General features: G+C 39.2%; 1 protein-coding gene and 1 long non-coding RNA gene across 14 annotated transcripts in view, besides 1 other annotated feature; both read right to left on the bottom strand.

Moving 5' to 3' along the window:
- Positions 1 to 2,529, bottom strand: part of LRRC7 (leucine rich repeat containing 7) — a 576,443-nt gene extending 573,914 nt beyond the window's left edge. For 6 of the 10 annotated variants that reach the window (NM_001330635.3, NM_001366839.3, NM_001370785.2 and 3 more), the window contains exon 1: positions 1,810 to 2,529. Coding sequence is in view for 6 of the 10 variants with exons in the window: in NM_001370785.2 (NP_001357714.1) it covers positions 1,810 to 1,811 (2 nt within the window). In the remaining 4 variants the exon portion in view is untranslated. Of the gene's footprint in view, positions 1 to 946; positions 1,111 to 1,630; positions 1,699 to 1,809 lie in introns of those variants that run through there. The other 4 variants (NM_001366841.1, NM_001350216.3, NM_001366840.1 and 1 more) reach the window with 2 other exon arrangements.
- Positions 2,876 to 3,105: a silencer, noted in NCBI's record as "silent region_987". NCBI's record gives its function as "represses an Ori minimal core promoter by ATAC-STARR-seq in GM12878 lymphoblastoid cells {active_cell/tissue: GM12878}" and the evidence as "EXISTENCE:reporter gene assay evidence [ECO:0000049][PMID:35858748]".
- The window catches only part of LOC105378789 (uncharacterized), a 112,950-nt gene continuing 100,935 nt past the window's right edge, over positions 4,601 to 16,615 (bottom strand). For 3 of the 4 annotated variants that reach the window (XR_001738106.2, XR_947488.3, XR_007066165.1), the window contains exons 8-12: positions 16,518 to 16,615; positions 14,986 to 15,033; positions 13,458 to 13,515; positions 10,632 to 12,671; positions 4,601 to 6,844 (exon numbers count right to left, since the gene is read on the bottom strand). The exon at positions 16,518 to 16,615 is cut by the window's right edge and continues 528 nt beyond it. This is a non-coding gene — a long non-coding RNA (uncharacterized LOC105378789). The remainder of the gene's footprint in view (positions 6,845 to 10,631; positions 12,672 to 13,457; positions 13,516 to 14,985; positions 15,034 to 16,517) is intronic. The other variant, XR_007066166.1, reaches the window with a different exon arrangement.

Here is a 16,615-nt window from a genome sequence, read left to right as displayed (position 1 = left end):
AGCAAGGGGTGGGGGTGAAGGGTGGGCGGTAAAAAAAGGCAGAGGCGAAGCTTTCAAACCGTTCACGCATGTCTACCTGTGCTTATTTTCCCTCTATTTCGCCTCCGATCAACTTTATTATTATTATTATTATTATTTTCCTTCTATAGGAGGACTTAAGCAACCAGGATGCTGAACATCTCATAGGCTCAGGCTGGAACAAAGAAAATCGAGTTCCTAATACTGTATCTCACCCGTTGGAGGGATCACGTGTCCTGCTTTCGCTGGAATGCACTCTTCTCGCCCACGCTATAAAAATCTCTATTGTGCTTAGAAATTTCGCCTAGGTTAGAATATGCTCACAAAAAATTGCTTTTCATCCACCAGGAGAGCCACATTTCGACATATACAGATACAAATCTATTTACCTGCTGACCCAGTTACCACTGCAGGTAAATTCGATGTGTTGAAAGAGTATTGGGAAAGTAATTGAAAAGAGCAGGGGGAGGACCCCTGTGTCTTACCGATCCCCACCCCCATCGCTTTTTTTTTTTTTTTTTTTTTTGTAATTCCTTTTGAAGGAGAACTTCGAAAGGAACGTGGGAGTCGCAGATGGTTCCTTTCTGAAGCCGATTCCTGGGAGTTGTGAAAGTGACCCCGTCTCTTCTCTGCCTCGAGCTGTGCCCTCTCGCCCAACCCGCTCGCTTTATGACTTGATGGGGAAGAGACAGCCAGAGAAGAGCCGGAGTAGAGGGCGGAGGCGGGTCCTTTATTCAGCCCTGATGGCCGAGAAGTAGTGTAAGGAAGCAATCTTTCAGCCATCTCCGTTATTATGAAGTCACACTATTTTAAAAGGCAATCTATACAGTCCCCCAACCCCCGCCCCCATTCTTGACTCTGCAAACAGTAAGATTAGAGACCACTGGTAGCCAATCTAATAGTCCACGAGCCAGGGTGCCATGATTACCTTAATGCTAATGTGCTTCCCTCCCTCTTTCCACGTCGAATCCGAAACACGTCCTGCATCCTTAATAACTCGGAGAGGAGGACGCAAGATCCTCAAGGGGACCCAGCGCTGGATTGGGAATAGGCAGGTTCACCAGCTTCTCGTGCCACACAAAGGAGATGTGTGGGCAGGAGTTGTCTAGCTGACAGGGAGGGAGGCAAGGTTCTCCCTGACTCCCAGGGAACACGCTCCCCCACTTCTTTCCGTCCTCCAGTCTTTCATGTTCCTTCGTCCCCTCCATCCCCCCAAACCCCACCCTTTCCCTTCAATCCCAATCACATAAAAATCTTCTAATTGTATTTTTTCAAACAGACATCGAGACATTGATACAACACCTTCCAAGATAAAGAGACAAGTGCGTCCTGCCACAAGTGTGTGTGAGTGTGTGTGTGTGTGTGTCACGATCAAACACGCGCTTCATCCCTCAGACACCTCTGGGAAAAAAGCTGACTGGAGATACCCAAGATAATAACGAGGAGCTAAACCTAATTTCAGCGGAACCAATGGTCCCAGCACCAGCGCCCAACATTTACCTTTCCTTTTCGCAGTATGTAACCCTTTAAGGTCTCTTGCCAGCTCAAGCTACTCGGTGCTCCCATGCACCCGCCCAGTTAGCACCCCATTTCCAAATGCTCTGCAACCTACCACATCTTCGCCGCCTCCCTCGGCCACCGCACAAGCAGCTCCCCGCGAGCGCCGAAGCCTCCCGCCCTGCCACCCCCGCCCCCGGCCGGCCTCTGGGGTCCCACACCTCGCGCGCCTACGGTCGCCGCGGCCGGGCCCCCGCAGCACCCTCCGCCACGGAGCGAGCGTGCCTTACTCACATCGCCGGCGGGAGAAACTGCCCATGAGGTTTCGGAGAGCGTAGTCGTGCAGCTGCCAAGGGTTATTCCTTAAGTGTTCAGGGGTCCGCAGTGGAGTGGGCGCCAGGGTCTTCGGAGGAGAAGAGGAGGGAAGGAGTAGAAGGTAGGAAGAACAGGAGATAGAGGGGAATCCAGGAAGGTGCCACGTTAGACCATGATGCCAGTGCCCTTCAGGTGGACGGCTGGAGAGGTTCCCGCGGGAAGCGGCTGAGGGGAAGCCCGAAGCGCCGGCGGGGGAGGCAGGAGCGCGTCCACTCCCCAGCCTCAGCCTGCCCAGCGCGCCGCGCTAGCGACCGCAGCAGCAGCGGCGGCGGCGGCGGCGGTGGCGGAGGCGCAGCTCCCTCCCCGCCCCCAGAAGGCTCCACAGACAATAAATCCTGGGCGGAGAAGAGACAAGCAGGAAAGGCGAATCCTGCACCCAACTCCGTAACAACCCCTGCCCGTTGCCGCGCCTGTGCAGGGCGAGGATCCCCAGGGGCCAGGGCGCAGCGGGCGTCTCGGAGGGGCTGAGCGCTCCGCAACTGCAGGAGGCGGTGGCGGTGGCCCGAGTGGGCGGCTGCAGGTCCCGCCGGCGAGAACCCGCTGCACTGGGGCTGGGTGTCCGTGGCTTCAAGCCCGGTGTTCACCCGGAGTAGGGTCCTCCTCGGTGCAGTGGCTCGGCGCACAGGTGCCAGGATTGGCAGGCGAGGAGGCGCCGCTCATGGCTCTTGGCTGTGTCTCACCGCTCTCCCCGCCCCCTCTCTTTTTTCCCACCCCCTTTTCCGACGACACCAGCTGCAGCTGCTTCAAAGTGTGAAAAATGTCAAGGAGATTTTCCAATGATAGGAGGGGGTAACCATGTTCACAACCCTCGGTCTCTTTTTGAGATCCTCGCCTGTCCCTCTGACCTCTACTCCGGCTCCCCCAAATTATGAGAAGAAAAATCCCAGTCCTGCACAGGATTGAAACGCTAGCCTTCTCCCGGCTCCGTCACGATAGGCTGCTTTTCGAGAACGGGACGAGAGGCCGAGCTCTCTGGGTTCCTCTCGCCTCCGTGGTGTTCGAGGCAGGTGGCACGAATCTCAGCGCGGGGCGGAGCGCGGCTGCCGGCTCCTCCCGCTCGCGGGCCAGCCCCGGGCGCTCGGGCAGCGCGGCGCGGCTTTCTGCAGCGCGGCCGCCTGAGCGGCAGAAGCGGCTCCCGGCCTGTGCGCCTGCCTGAGCGCCCCTGCACCCGCACTAGCTCAGTGACGCTGAGCTCGTGGCTCCTCAGGCTGCTGCTCCTGCTATCTCAGCAAAGAGGCGGCCGGGAGCGCCTCCTCGGGGTTTCCTCCCCCGCCCGCCTTGCCTGCTGCAGGTTGTTGGCTGCCAAGGAGAAAAGTCTCCGCTTGTGCGTCAGGTCGCTTCACATCAGTCATGGCAGCGAACCTTGTGCCTGCTCTTAAGTCCTCTCCTCATTCTGGGGTTGCGGCTGCTGCCCTGGGAGTGCACAAAAAGGGAAGGGTTTTCCCAACTTCCCTTCATATATTCACCGCCCCTCCTCCTGCCATGAACATTCTCTCTGACACACACACACACACACACACACACACACACACACACACACACTCTCTCTCTCTCTCTCATATGCTCCCTTACGTAAAGGCACACACACTTTCTTCTTATACGCTTCTCTAAAGTCCCAGAAGCAGCAAGACATATCAATGAAGCTAGTACTATATTTACACTTTTTTTTTTTTTTTTTGAAACGGAGTTTCGCTCTTGTTGACCAGGCTGGAGTACAATGGCGCGATCTCGGCTCACTGCAACCTCTTCCTCCCCGGTTCAAGCGATCTTCCTGCCTCAGCCTCCCGAGTAGCTGGGATTACAGGCGCGTGCCACCACGCCCGGATGATTTTTTTTGTATTTTTAGTAGAGACGGGGGTTTCACCATGTTGCCCAGGCTGGTCTCGAATTCCTGACCTCAGGTGATCCACCTGTCTCGGCCTCCCAAAATGCTGGGATTATAGACGTGAGCCACCGTTCCCAGCCTATATTTACACTTTTATTCTCTACACACATCTAATGAATTACATCTTTAAAAAAGGATATATTATGCTGGTATTCTTTTGTGGAATATAGGCTATGTGGTTTTTGTTTCTTCATTACAAGAGAGAAAGAATCTTGTCTTTAGTTCTCTAACCTCGAACACAGTCAAGACTGTGCACAGCATTCAAATGCCACTCTGGGGGTGTGTGTAAGCTCACAGTTTGCCAAAAGAAAACACACCTGATTGTATTCTTAGATTTGGAATGCTAAAGTCTTCAAGGTCAAAAATTATGTTTCCTGGCTGCTAGAAATTGTCTAGGAAGAGACTTGAGAGACTGGCACCTAATGTGCGGAGGACCTAGAGAGGAATTATTGCCCACTTTATCTGGGCCATGAAGGTGGGCTGACTTTTAAGGACAACTTGCCAGTGTTTCATATCATTTGCATATAGAAAGGAAAAGGAGTATATTTTGAAAAGCCAGATCGTTTTTTATATTGTTACAAAACACCAAAAGAAAGGGCTCTGAAAATGGCAAGGAAATGGAATAAAATTGTTAAAAGAATTTTTTTTGAATTGACTACTGTTGTGCTCTGTTTTTTTTTCACCTATAGTGTTGTCCTTTTAAACATTTTGCCACATCTCAATGTCTCTGCTGGATGAAGTGACATGAAATATTTTAGGTGCTGATTAAAAATGTATTGACAAAATAACCTGGCGCAACAATTACACAATTATAGCGGTCCTTTATGGGTTTCCAGTTCTTTTTAATACAGTCAACACAGTACTTTCACATATATTCTTTCATTTAATCCTTTCTTAAATCTAGGTGGTGGATAATCTAATCCACACTTACAGGAAGGGCACAAAGGCTCATCTCATAAGGGTGTCCAGTTGCCCTGCACTTGAGCCCAGAATTTCTTATTTTAACTTCAGGCTTCATTGTTTTGTATCAAAATATTTGACAAAAATTATTCTGTTTAAAAACACAGCCAGTTATGAGTAACTGCAGATCCTTGCATACAGGCAGCATACCTACCAATGAAGTTACCTTCTGTGTGTTAAGTGGAAGTAGTTTCCTACGTGGAAACAAACGTATTCCTTTCCAATGGAGAAAAAGATAATTTTGGAACCCCGAATTAAAAATTGATGGTGCTGATATAACACATTTCAAACTACATGTCCTCCTTTCCCATTTATCTTGTCCTAGAATCTTGATTTTGGACCATAAAAATCCAATGGATAAAATACTTTAAATATGTTCAGATGTCCACCTAATTGTTATGGGTTTTAACAAACAGGATTATAAGGTGTAAAGAGAAGGTATTCTCTTTAGAATAAGCTTTGAATACAACGGCTCCATATTTTTGTAAGATTATGAATCTTGAACAAAATCTGGCCACCTTTACTATTTAAACAATGAGACATTGAAGAGATTTCAGTGGTTTCATAGAATTATGGAACTATTGAAATGCAAATGCAGGTGCTGTCTTTAAACTTCAAGCTGCCCTGTCATCAACCCTCTGGAAATGCAGATGACTGTCTAAAAATTGGAGAAAGATAAATGCTAAATATACTTTGGATGTTGTTCAAGCAGAGGCCCAACACTAAAAACTATCACCATTTTACAAATTAGATCAAGGCAGTTTTAACAGATTTGATGTTCCTATTACATCTATAAATGTTTAGACATTAAGGCTATAAAATTTTGCAAGTTGTTAATCAATTTCTTTGACCCACACTGCTAAAATCTTTGAAATGATAATGCTTCTTAGGATAAGCAAGACTAACCTTATTTGAAAATAAAACTCATGGCGATATTAAACAATAAGATGTCAAATATCTTTGAATATTTCCCTTTGGATGCCTGAAATGCTACACTTGTCGTAAAAGATATCCCCTTTGGCAATTACTCATTAAAATAAAAGTACATATAGACAGGATAACACTTTTAGTTTTTGAGTTGTTAGTATCTTAACAGGATTGGCTTAATTAGATACTGGTAATTAGGGAAATAGAAAACATTACTGAATTTTGATGCATGAAGATGAAGGTCTGAAAACCTCAGAGACAGTAGACCTTAGTAAGACAGGATCAGTATGAGTGGGGTACTGTAAGGGTGGACAGTGATGCTTTGTTGTGGTTAGTTTTTGAAAAACCAGGCTGAGGTTCTGAATAGAAAATGGAGGTAGGTCATTAAGATTTTTCTTCAAATGAATTTGTTAGAGGGCTTTTACTATGAAATTGGCCTCTCAAATTAACAATCTGTTCTAGCTAAAGAAAATGCTTCTTTATTGTGGATTTTAATTCATTTGAATAATTATTTTGTAAACATTAATTTGCCTAAGATGAAAAAATACAGTGACCACTGATATACCCATTATGCCCATTAAGAAAGCATTATGGATATGACTGAAGCCTCCTCTCCCATTCCTCTCTCTGTCCACCCCATTCCCCCACACACAAAAGATAACCTCATTTCTAAATTTTGTATTTATTTGTACATTTATACATTCATACATTTTGTGCACTTTGAGTACTAACAATATTTTTGTATCGCTTAGCATAGGTAACCCTTATATAAATGATATAATACAGTATGCATTCTTTTGCAAATTGCTTTTGATTTTTAAAATATCAACATTATGTAAATAATAATGATTCATATTCATATGTGTCACTCTGGTTGACTGATTTTTGATGCTGCATAATAGTTAATTGTATAAACTCACCACATTCACATTCTGATGACAGTTTTTACTATTATAAGTAATACTGTTGGGAACATGTTTGTTTATATCTCTTTATGAATGTGCATAAAAATTTTTCTAGTTAATGTATCACCTAGGAGTGGATTTCTGTTTCAGGGTATGATACAGTCAATATTAAATTGTTTTTCACATGGTTTACAGTTTTATTAGTATTTGTAAGAGTTTTTCTTGGTCCACACTCTGGCAATACTTGGTATTATCAGACATTTTCATGTTGTCCAGCCTAAGGGGTGTAAAAAGGTACTTTATTAAGGTTTACATTCACATTTCCTTTCTTACTTATGAGGTTGAGCAGCTTTTAATAGGTTTACCATTCCCATTTTCAATATGAATTGCTTATTTATATATTTCACTAATTTTCATTGGGTTTTCTTGATTTGTATATCTATGTCTGTGTGTGTAGCCTAGATTTTAATCCTCTGTCAGTTGTATCACTTCTTTGACTTTCAATCTTCATATGGTGGTGTATTTTTATAAAAATAAGCTATAATTGATAACTTTATCAATACTTTCCTTTATGGAATATGCTTTATATCTAGCTTAAGAAAACCTTTATTACCCCCCCCTCCCAGGTTATGAATGTATTTTTCTATGTTGTATTCTAAAAGGCTTACAATTTTAATGTTTTACCTTTTAGACTTTAAATCATCTGAAATTGATTATTTGTATGGTGTGAGGTAGGGATTCATTTTACTTTTCTACTTTCCTCCCCATGGAATGAATGCTTGCATTACTGCATAGCATATCATGTATCAGTTCATTGGTTTATTTTTGGGGATGGGCAATTTGTTCTTTCTATTCTATGCAAGTTGAAAACTGAAAAAACTGTCCTGATTACTCAAGCTTTATAATCAGCACTGATATCTAGGGAGAACAAGGAGCCTCATCTTGTTCTTCAAAATGTTTGACTATTCTTCATCCTTTCTTTTTGTACTATTAATTTTTAAGCATGATGCAAATTCATAATAGTTTTTAAAATTTTTCTCACACCACAAGTCTTTTAAAAACAGATTGCTATTTCACAAGACCTTGTTCTGTGTAGTGTTATAACAAATTAGCAATTCTGTCTCACAAGAAATTCAGACTAAATTTATCATGCCAGTACTCCAACAGAAAGTTTACCTTAGATAAAAACTGAGTAAAAAGGCTAGTCAAGAATGAAATATATCTTTAAAAACAATGTAGATAACTTCACCAACACATTACCGTATACAAACATTCTGAAAAAGTCTCTGCCATCTCTAGGTGGTTTTATAGGTATACAAAAATTTTAAATGCTTTTTTTTCATTCTAAAATGGATATTATGTAGTTAAAGCAAGCAAAAGTTTTCCTAATTCTAAAATTGTGTTATTATATTAAGAAATTGCATGCTCTTAATTTTTTTAAATTTTAACTTCCAGGACACATGTGCAGGATGTACATAGGTAAATGGTTGCCACAGTGGTTTGCTGCACCTATCAACCCACCACCCAAGTATTAAGCCCAGCATGCACCAGCCATGGTGCCCTGCTGCCCCTGACAGGCCCCTGTGGGTGTGTTCACCTTCCTGTGTCCATGTGTTCTCATAATTCAGCTCCCACTTAAAAGTGAGAACATGTGGTGTTTGATTTTCTGTTCCTGTGTTAGTTTGCTGAATAATGGCTTCCAGCTCCATCCATGTCCCAGCAAAGAACATGATCTTGTTCCTTTTTATGGCTGCATAGTTTTCCATGTGTATATGTACCACATTTTCTTTATCTAGTCTATCATTGATGGGCACTTGGGTTGATTTCATGCTTCACTATTATGAATAGTACTGCAATGAACATAAGTGTGCGTGTATTATTATTATTATTATTATTATTATTTTTTTTTTTTTTTTTTTTTTTTTTTTTTTTTTTTTTTTTTTTTTTGAGACGGAGTCTCGCTCTGTCGCCCAGGCTGGACTGCGGACTGCAGTGGCGCAATCTCGGCTCACTGCAAGCTCCGCTTCCCGGGTTCAACGCCATTCTCCTGCCTCAGCCTCCCCAGTAGCTGGGACTACAGGCGCCCGCCACCGCGCCCGGCTAATTTTTTGTATTTTTAGTAGAGACGGGGTTTCACCTTGTTAGCCAGGATGGTCTCGATCTCCTGACCTCATGATCCACCCGCCTCGGCCTCCCAAAGTGCTGGGATTACAGGCGTGAGCCACCGCGCCCGGCCTATTATTTTTTTTTTTGAGATGGAAACTCACTCTGTTGCCCAGGCTAGGGTGCAGTGGTGCAATCTTGGCTCACTGCAACCTCTGCCTCCTGGGTTCAAGTGATTCTCCTGCCTCAGCCTCCCGAGTAGCTGGGACTACAGGCATGCATCACCACACCAAGCTGATTTTTGTATTTTTAGTAGAGACGGGGTTTCACCATATTGGTCAGGGTGGCCTTGAACTCCTGACTTCATGATCCGCCCACTTCGGCCTCCCAAAGTGCTGGGGTAACATGTGTGAGCCACCACACCTGGCCTGCATGTATCTTTATAATAGAATGATTTATATTCCCTTGGGTATATACCCAGTAATGGGATGGATGTGTCAAATGGTATTTCTGGTTCTCAATCTTTGAAGAATCACTACACTGTCTTCCATAATGGTTGAACGAATTTACATTCTCACCAATAGTGTAAAAGCATTCCTATTTCTCTGCAACTTCAATAGCATCTGTTGTTTCTTGACTTTGATAATCGCCATTCTGACTGAGATGTTATCTTACTGTGGTTTTGATTTGCCTTTCTCTAATGATAAGGGATGTTGAACTTTTTTTCATATGTTTGTTGGCTGCATGAATGTCTTCTTTTGAGATGTATCTGTTCATGTTCTTTGCCCAATTTTTAATGGGGTTGTATGCTTTTTTCTTGTAAATTTAAGTTCCTTGTAGATTCTGGATATTAGCCCTTTGTCAGATAGATAGATTGCCAAAAAAAATCTCTCATTCTGCATGTTGTCTGTTCACTCTGATAATAGTTTCTTTTGCTGTGCAGAAGCTCTTTAGTTTAATTAGATCCCATTTATCAATTTTTGTTTTTATTGCTATTTCTTTTGGTGTTTTCATCATGAAATCTTTGCCCATGCCTATATCCTGAATGGCATTGCCAAGATTTTCCTCTAGGATTGTTATAGTTGTGGGTTTTACATTTAAGTTTTTAATACATCTTGAGTTAATTTTTTATAAGGTGTAAGGAAGGGGTCCAGTTTCAATTTTCTGCATATAGCTAGCCAGTTCTCCCAGCACCATTTATTAAATAGGGAATCCTTTGCCCATTGCTTGTTTTTGTCAGGTTGGTCAAAGATCAGATGGTTGTAGACGTGTAGTCTTACTTCTGATTTCTCTCTTCTGTTACATTGGTCTATGTGTCTGTTTTTGTACCAGTACCATGCTCTTTTGGTCACTGTAGCCTTGTAGTATAGTTTGAAGTCAGGTAGTGTGATGTCTCCAGCTGTGTTATTTTTACTTACGATTGTCCTGGCTATTTGGGCTCTTTTTTGGTTTCATGTGAATTTTAAAATAGTTTTATTTTAAATTATATGAAGAATGTCAATGGTAGTTTAATGGGAATAGCATTGAATCTATAAATTGCTCTGGGCAGCATGGCCATTTTTACAATATTGATTCTTCCTATCCATGAAAATGGAATGTTTTTCCATTTGTTTGTGTCTACTCTGATTTCTTGGAGCAGTGGTTTGTAGTTCTCCTTCAAGAGGTCCTTCACTTCCCTTGTTAGCTGTATTTCTAGGTATTTAATTCTCTTTTTAGGAATTGTGAATGGGAATTCATTTGTAATTTGTTTCTCTGCTTTCCTGTTTTTGGTGTATAGTAGTGCTTGTGATTTTTGCACATTGATTTTGCATCCTGAGACTTTGCTTAAGTTGCTTATCAACTTAAGGAGCTTTTGGGCTGAGATGATGAGGTTTTCTAAATATAGAATCATATCATTGCAAACAATGACAATTTGACTTTGTATCTTCCCATTAAATAAGTTTTTAATTTCTTTTTCTTACCTGATTGTGCTGGCCAGAACTTCCACTATGTTGAAAGGAGTGGTGAGAGAGGGCATCCCCAAGATACATCATCATCAAATTCTCCAAGTTTGAAATGAAGGAAAAAATGTTAAGGGCAGCCAGAGAGAAAGGCCAGGTCACCTACAGAAGAAGCCCATCAGACTAACAGCAGACCTCTAAGCACAAACCCTACAAGCCACAAGAGAGTGGAAGCCAATATTCAAAATTCTTAAAGAAAAGGATTTTCCACCCAGAATTTCATATCCAGCCAAACTAAGCTTTATAAGCGAAGGAGTAATAAAATCCTCTTCAGACAAGCAAATGCTGAGGGAATTCATTACTACCATGCCTGCCTTGCAAGAGCAGCTGAAGGAAACACATAATATGGAAATAAAAAGCCATGACTAGCCTCTACAAATCACACTGAAGTTCACAGACCAGTGACACTATGAAGTCACTACATAAACAAGTCTGCAAAATAACCAGCTAGCATTACGATGACAGGATCAAATTCACACATGACAGTATTAACCTTAAATATTAATGGGCTAAATGCCCCAATTAAAAGATACAGAATGGCAGGCTGGATAAAGAGTCAAGACCCATCAGTGTGCAGTATTTAAGAGACCCGTCTCATGTGCAAAGGCACACATAGGCTCAAAATAAAGGGATGGAGGAATATTTACCAAGCAAACGTAAAACAGAAAAAAACAGGGGTTGCCATCCTAGTATCTGGCAAACAGACTTTAAACCAACGGAGATCAAAAAAGACAAAGAAGGGCATTACATAATGCTAAAGGGTCAATTCAACAAGAAGAGCTAACTACCCTAAATATACATGCAGCCAATACAGGAGTACCCAGATTTATAAAACAAATTCTTAGAGACCTACAAAGAGACTTAGACTCCCACACAATAATAGTGGAAGGCTTTAACATCCCACTGTCAATATCAGACAGATCGTTGAGACAGAAAATTAACAAAGATATTCAGGACCTAAACTCAGCTCTGGATCACGTGGACCTGATAGATATCACAGAACTCTGTACCCCAAAACAAGAGAATATACATTCTTCTCAGTGCCATATGGCACTTACTCTAAAATTGATCACATACTTAGAGGTAAAACACTCCTCAGCAAATGCAAAAAAACTAAAATAATAACAGTCTCTCAGATCACAGCACAATCAAATTAAAACTCAAGATTAAGATATGAACACCACAGAACTACATAGTAATGGAACAACCTGCTCCTGAATGACTCCTGGGTAAGTAATGAAATTAAGGTAGAAATCAAGAAGTTCTTTGAAACTAATGAGAACAAAGAGAAAACCTACTTGAATCTCTGGGACGCAGCTGAAGCAGTTTTAAGAGGGAAATTTATAGCACTAAATGCCCGTATCAAAGAGCTAGAAGATCTTAAATCAATATCCTAACATCACAATTAAAAGAACTAGAGAATTAAGAGCAAACAAACCCCAAGCTACCAGAATACAAGAAATAACCAAGATCAGAGCAAACTGAAGGAGATAGAGACACACACACACAAAAACCCCTCAAGACATCAAGGAATCCAGGAGGGAGCTGTTTAAAAAAAAAAATAGTAAAATTGACCACTAGCTAGACTAATAAAGAAGAAAGGAGAGAAAAATCAAATAGACACAATCAGAAGTGATAAAAGGGATATTACCACTGACTCCACAGAGTTACAAACAGCCATGAAATAATAGTATAAACATCTCTATGCAAACAAACTAGAAAATCTACAAGTAATTGATAAATTCTTATACACCCTCCCAAAATCTGAACCAGGAAGAAGTTGAATCCCTAAATAGACCAATAAGGAGTTCTAAAATTAAGGCAGTAATAAATAGCCTACCAACCAGAAAAAGCCCAGGACCAGACAGATTTACACTGAATTCTACCAGAGGTACAAAGAGGAGCTGGTACCATTTCTTCTGAAACTATTCCAAACAATTGAAAAGGAGGTACTCTTCCCTAACTCATTTTATGAGGCCAGCATCATCCTGATATCAAAACCTGGCAAAGATACAACACAAAAAAAGAAAAGTTCAGGTCAATATCCCTGATGAACAGTGATGCAAAAGTTCTCAAAAAATTTTTTGATTTTTTTTCAAGAAGTTATATGCCAATTTTTTCTAATCTTTTCTGAAAGCATCATGTTCCTTCCCTATATTTTTGATTCACTCCTTCAGATACAGGAGTGAATTGTATATGCTGTATATAGCATATTTCATGCTGTATCTGATAATTTTATTATCTGAATTCCATGGGATCTAATTTGAGGTACTAATTTATTTTCTCCTTAGTTTTGCTTATGCTGGTATGTTTTCTTGGATTTTGGGTTAGATTTTATCTGGGGAAATTACATAAACCCTTGGTTGTTTCTTTCCAATGAGGATTTTTATTTGTTTCTTCTAGGTGCTTCAGGGAGCTAACTACCTAAACTGTTTCAACTTAAGCTGTGGACTTCCCAGATGACTGAGACAAACCCCGAGGGCTGAAAAGGACACACCTGTGATTATTAATCCTTAGAACGACTTTCTTCCCCACCTAGAATCAAGATTGAAGCAGACAAGTGTCTTATAATCTGTATTTTCAAGAGGGTAGATATTTTCTAAATAAACCATTTAGTGAAGATGTAACCCTTCAAGGATCTCACATTTAAGTAGAGATCTCAGTTACCTCCCACCTTTCTTAGGTTAGACGTCTAGGATCTTGTTCAGCTACCACTTTGTAGGCAAGTTCTAGATTATGAAAATGGACAAATTCCTTTAGCAGAATTGTAAACTTAATGTTTCTTACCATTGTGGCTTCTCTTAATTTTGGTCTCCAAACATTTCCCTTCTTTTTTGGAAGTTCACTGTTCACAAAACAATAAAAAATGTAGTTTGTTATTTTTTCCCCAGCATTTCCAGGTGTTTTGTCCTAGAGCTATTTTCATGGTATTTAGCCTGCCATATTTTGGAAGTAGACGAACATCTGTTTACATTACAATTTTTGAGGTGATTTTTTTTTTTTGGTGTAGAAATGTTGAAGTTAGCTAGGTTAAGTAGCATTTTGTATATTACCTTTCTGTCAAGCATGGTATTTTAAGAGATGGCAGTGGAAATAAGCCTTGCCACCGTGATGCTGTTACACAGGCATAATGGTAACTTTACTACCAATAGCTTTTAAGTGAAACAAACAAAAACATATTTTTGGTTGTTTTCTTAATGACCCTAATATATTTTCAGGTTTCAGTGTAAGCAAAAATCTCTTTTAAATAGTAGTTATTTCCATCAGCTAGATGCAAAATTTGTTACTTTTTATCGTAGGGCACACTCATGGTTAGCATTAATGGTAATTACTTGATTGAAATCTCTTCATATTGTAAACACAAAATGCATAAACAAGTTGAATCATGAAAGGTGTTCTGACTGTTCAGTTAACAATTAACACTGAGACCTAAAAAACTGAAAGCCAAGCAAATTCAGCTCTTTTTAAACTTTCTGATAAACACATACAAGATAATTCAATAAACTAGAAATTACGTAATAAAAAAACTAGTAGCATTATAGCATTGTTCAAGAAAGGAACAAAAATTACCTAATTATTTCTCTGACAGTTTTTATATTTTTTATATTTTCTGAACATAGAGGTAATATATTCTTATTGTTAAGATCCAAAGCAATATAGACATTTTATGTTGTGAAATATAAAAGCTCTGTATAATTCATATACCTGAAATAACTGCAGTTATTAATATCGAATACTTCTCTAAATTTATTCAGTGTATAGAAACATAGTTATATTAGTGGTTTTATCTCCCAGAAATGTATTCTTATTATATATAACTGCCTTATAACTTGCTTTTTATTGAATATATTGTGAAATATCCTTCTATTTTAGTACCAATTTACTAATCATCCCTTCTTTCTATAGGCTTCATAGAATCTTATTGCATGATGTACTATCGTGCATGTTACCCCTTTCCTATTAATGATTATTAGATGGATCCTAAATTTTTCACTATTGCAACAATTTTTGCAATGAATATTTTTGTACATATGTCTTTGCATTCTTGTGTAACACTTTTATAGCATATGTTTTTTAGAAATATTATTGACAATACAAAAACTATACATTTACGAAAATTTGATAGTACCTTTCCTTCCCAAAATGTTAAACTAGTTCATGTTCAGAATTCCTGTTTTCCTACTACCAAACCGTGTACCAATCATCATTTAACTGTTCCTTGTCTGATAGACAAACATATTTCATTTATTTAATCTCTATAACAATGAAAATTTGAAATACAGAATTATATAAGCTTGAAATGCAGAGGACTTACCTTATTATTTATAAATGGTCAAAATTTTGTTGTCACCATATTTTCTATCTGTGGCAAAAAATACATGAAAATTAGGTATCAATATAGATATAAATTTTTTGCCATAGAAAATCAGTTTTTAGTTAAGTTTCATGATACCTTATAGTAGTAAAAGGAAAACGTGTTGAAGTTTTGTCAACTCATTATATATCCCCACTATCCCATCGTCCAGCTCCTTCTCATTTCTTTCAAGAAAAGTTCACAGAGCTGAGAATCTCTGATATTCTCTAAGATTTAAACCATATCAATAAACTAACCTTACCCCACTTGAGTTAAAGAAATGTTTTAAGATTCATACAGGAATTCGGCATTACATAGGTACAGCCAAAAGGTTTTTGATAACCTTATTCTTGTTATCACACACTGAGAGTTCACATTGTGTAATTTTCAACTCAATAACATTGTTTTAGTTATTTTTTTTTAGTTTCACGGCTTGAAAATGCCATAGACCAGTATATCTGAGCTTGACTTATTTAGTATATTTTTTCCTGCATAAGAAAATAAAATTAAATACAGTTCAGTCAGTCATTTTTGTTTTAAGCTTGATATTTGATTTCAAATAAAAATGAAGTGTCTTTTTCCCTATAGTAGTTTCTCTATATAATACAAAGCACTTAAAAATAAGTAAGAATCTGAAAAGTTTTGAGAATGAATAGATAATATGAAAATCATTATGAATGCAATTTATTTGCAGTATTAAACCTGTGGAAGTGATTTACTTTTATTACATAAGTAGATACTGGATCAGAATGTTGACACTATCTTCTAAAATCCAACAGGTTATTTTACGATGTTAAGCGCATATCTAAGAGAACCAGGAAGCTCTCACCATGGTATTTAACCTTTAGGGATTGTGTATATCTAAATATGTCTAGATGTATTCCTGTTTCTCTAAAGTACACATCTGGTTAATTTAAGATCTTCAAGCTATGTTAACATTAAATTTAAATAGATTAGGTTACTTTCCTAGAAATAGAAACTTTATAAAGGTAGAAGAGCTATTACATTAAAAATTTCTTAATTTAAGATGGAATTGCCTGCTTATATTAGCCATAATGTATGTTCAAATATCTTTGTAACTGTAATCTACATCAAAATGATTTAAGTAAATATTCCTTTTTATTTATGCTTTCACTATTATGTTGTTTCTGTGTTCAATAATATGCCTATTTTCTTTAAATTATAGAACATTAGCTGATTTCTATAAAATTGTAAAACTTAAGCCTTTTAAAGTTCTGTTTTCACGTTTTACTTCTACTGAATACGTGATTAATTGTATAAAATGTCGTTTGACCCATTTAATGAGCACATACTATGAGCAAAACACTTTAAGTGCAATAAAAAATATAAATTATAATAGCAAGACTACCTAACTTGGCAGTGACTGGCTTAGATATTTGGGTGTCTTAGAGAATAGAAAGAAGGTAAAAATATCCTAGCCACATAATACAACTTATTCAATAATCCATATAGTTGATGCAAATATATGGTACCTTGCTATCACGTGATGATGAGAATTTCTTTGCATCCAGAAGGTAGACTCCATTTTACATTTTCCTTTTACTTTTTCCAAGGAGTGTATTATTTCCAC

This window comes from Homo sapiens, chromosome 1, assembly GCF_000001405.40.
Source record: "Homo sapiens chromosome 1, GRCh38.p14 Primary Assembly".
NCBI classification, from domain to species: Eukaryota; Metazoa; Chordata; class Mammalia; order Primates; family Hominidae; genus Homo; species Homo sapiens.
Note: the sequence above shows the minus strand (reverse complement) of the source record. Positions and strands in the feature narration are given on the sequence as shown.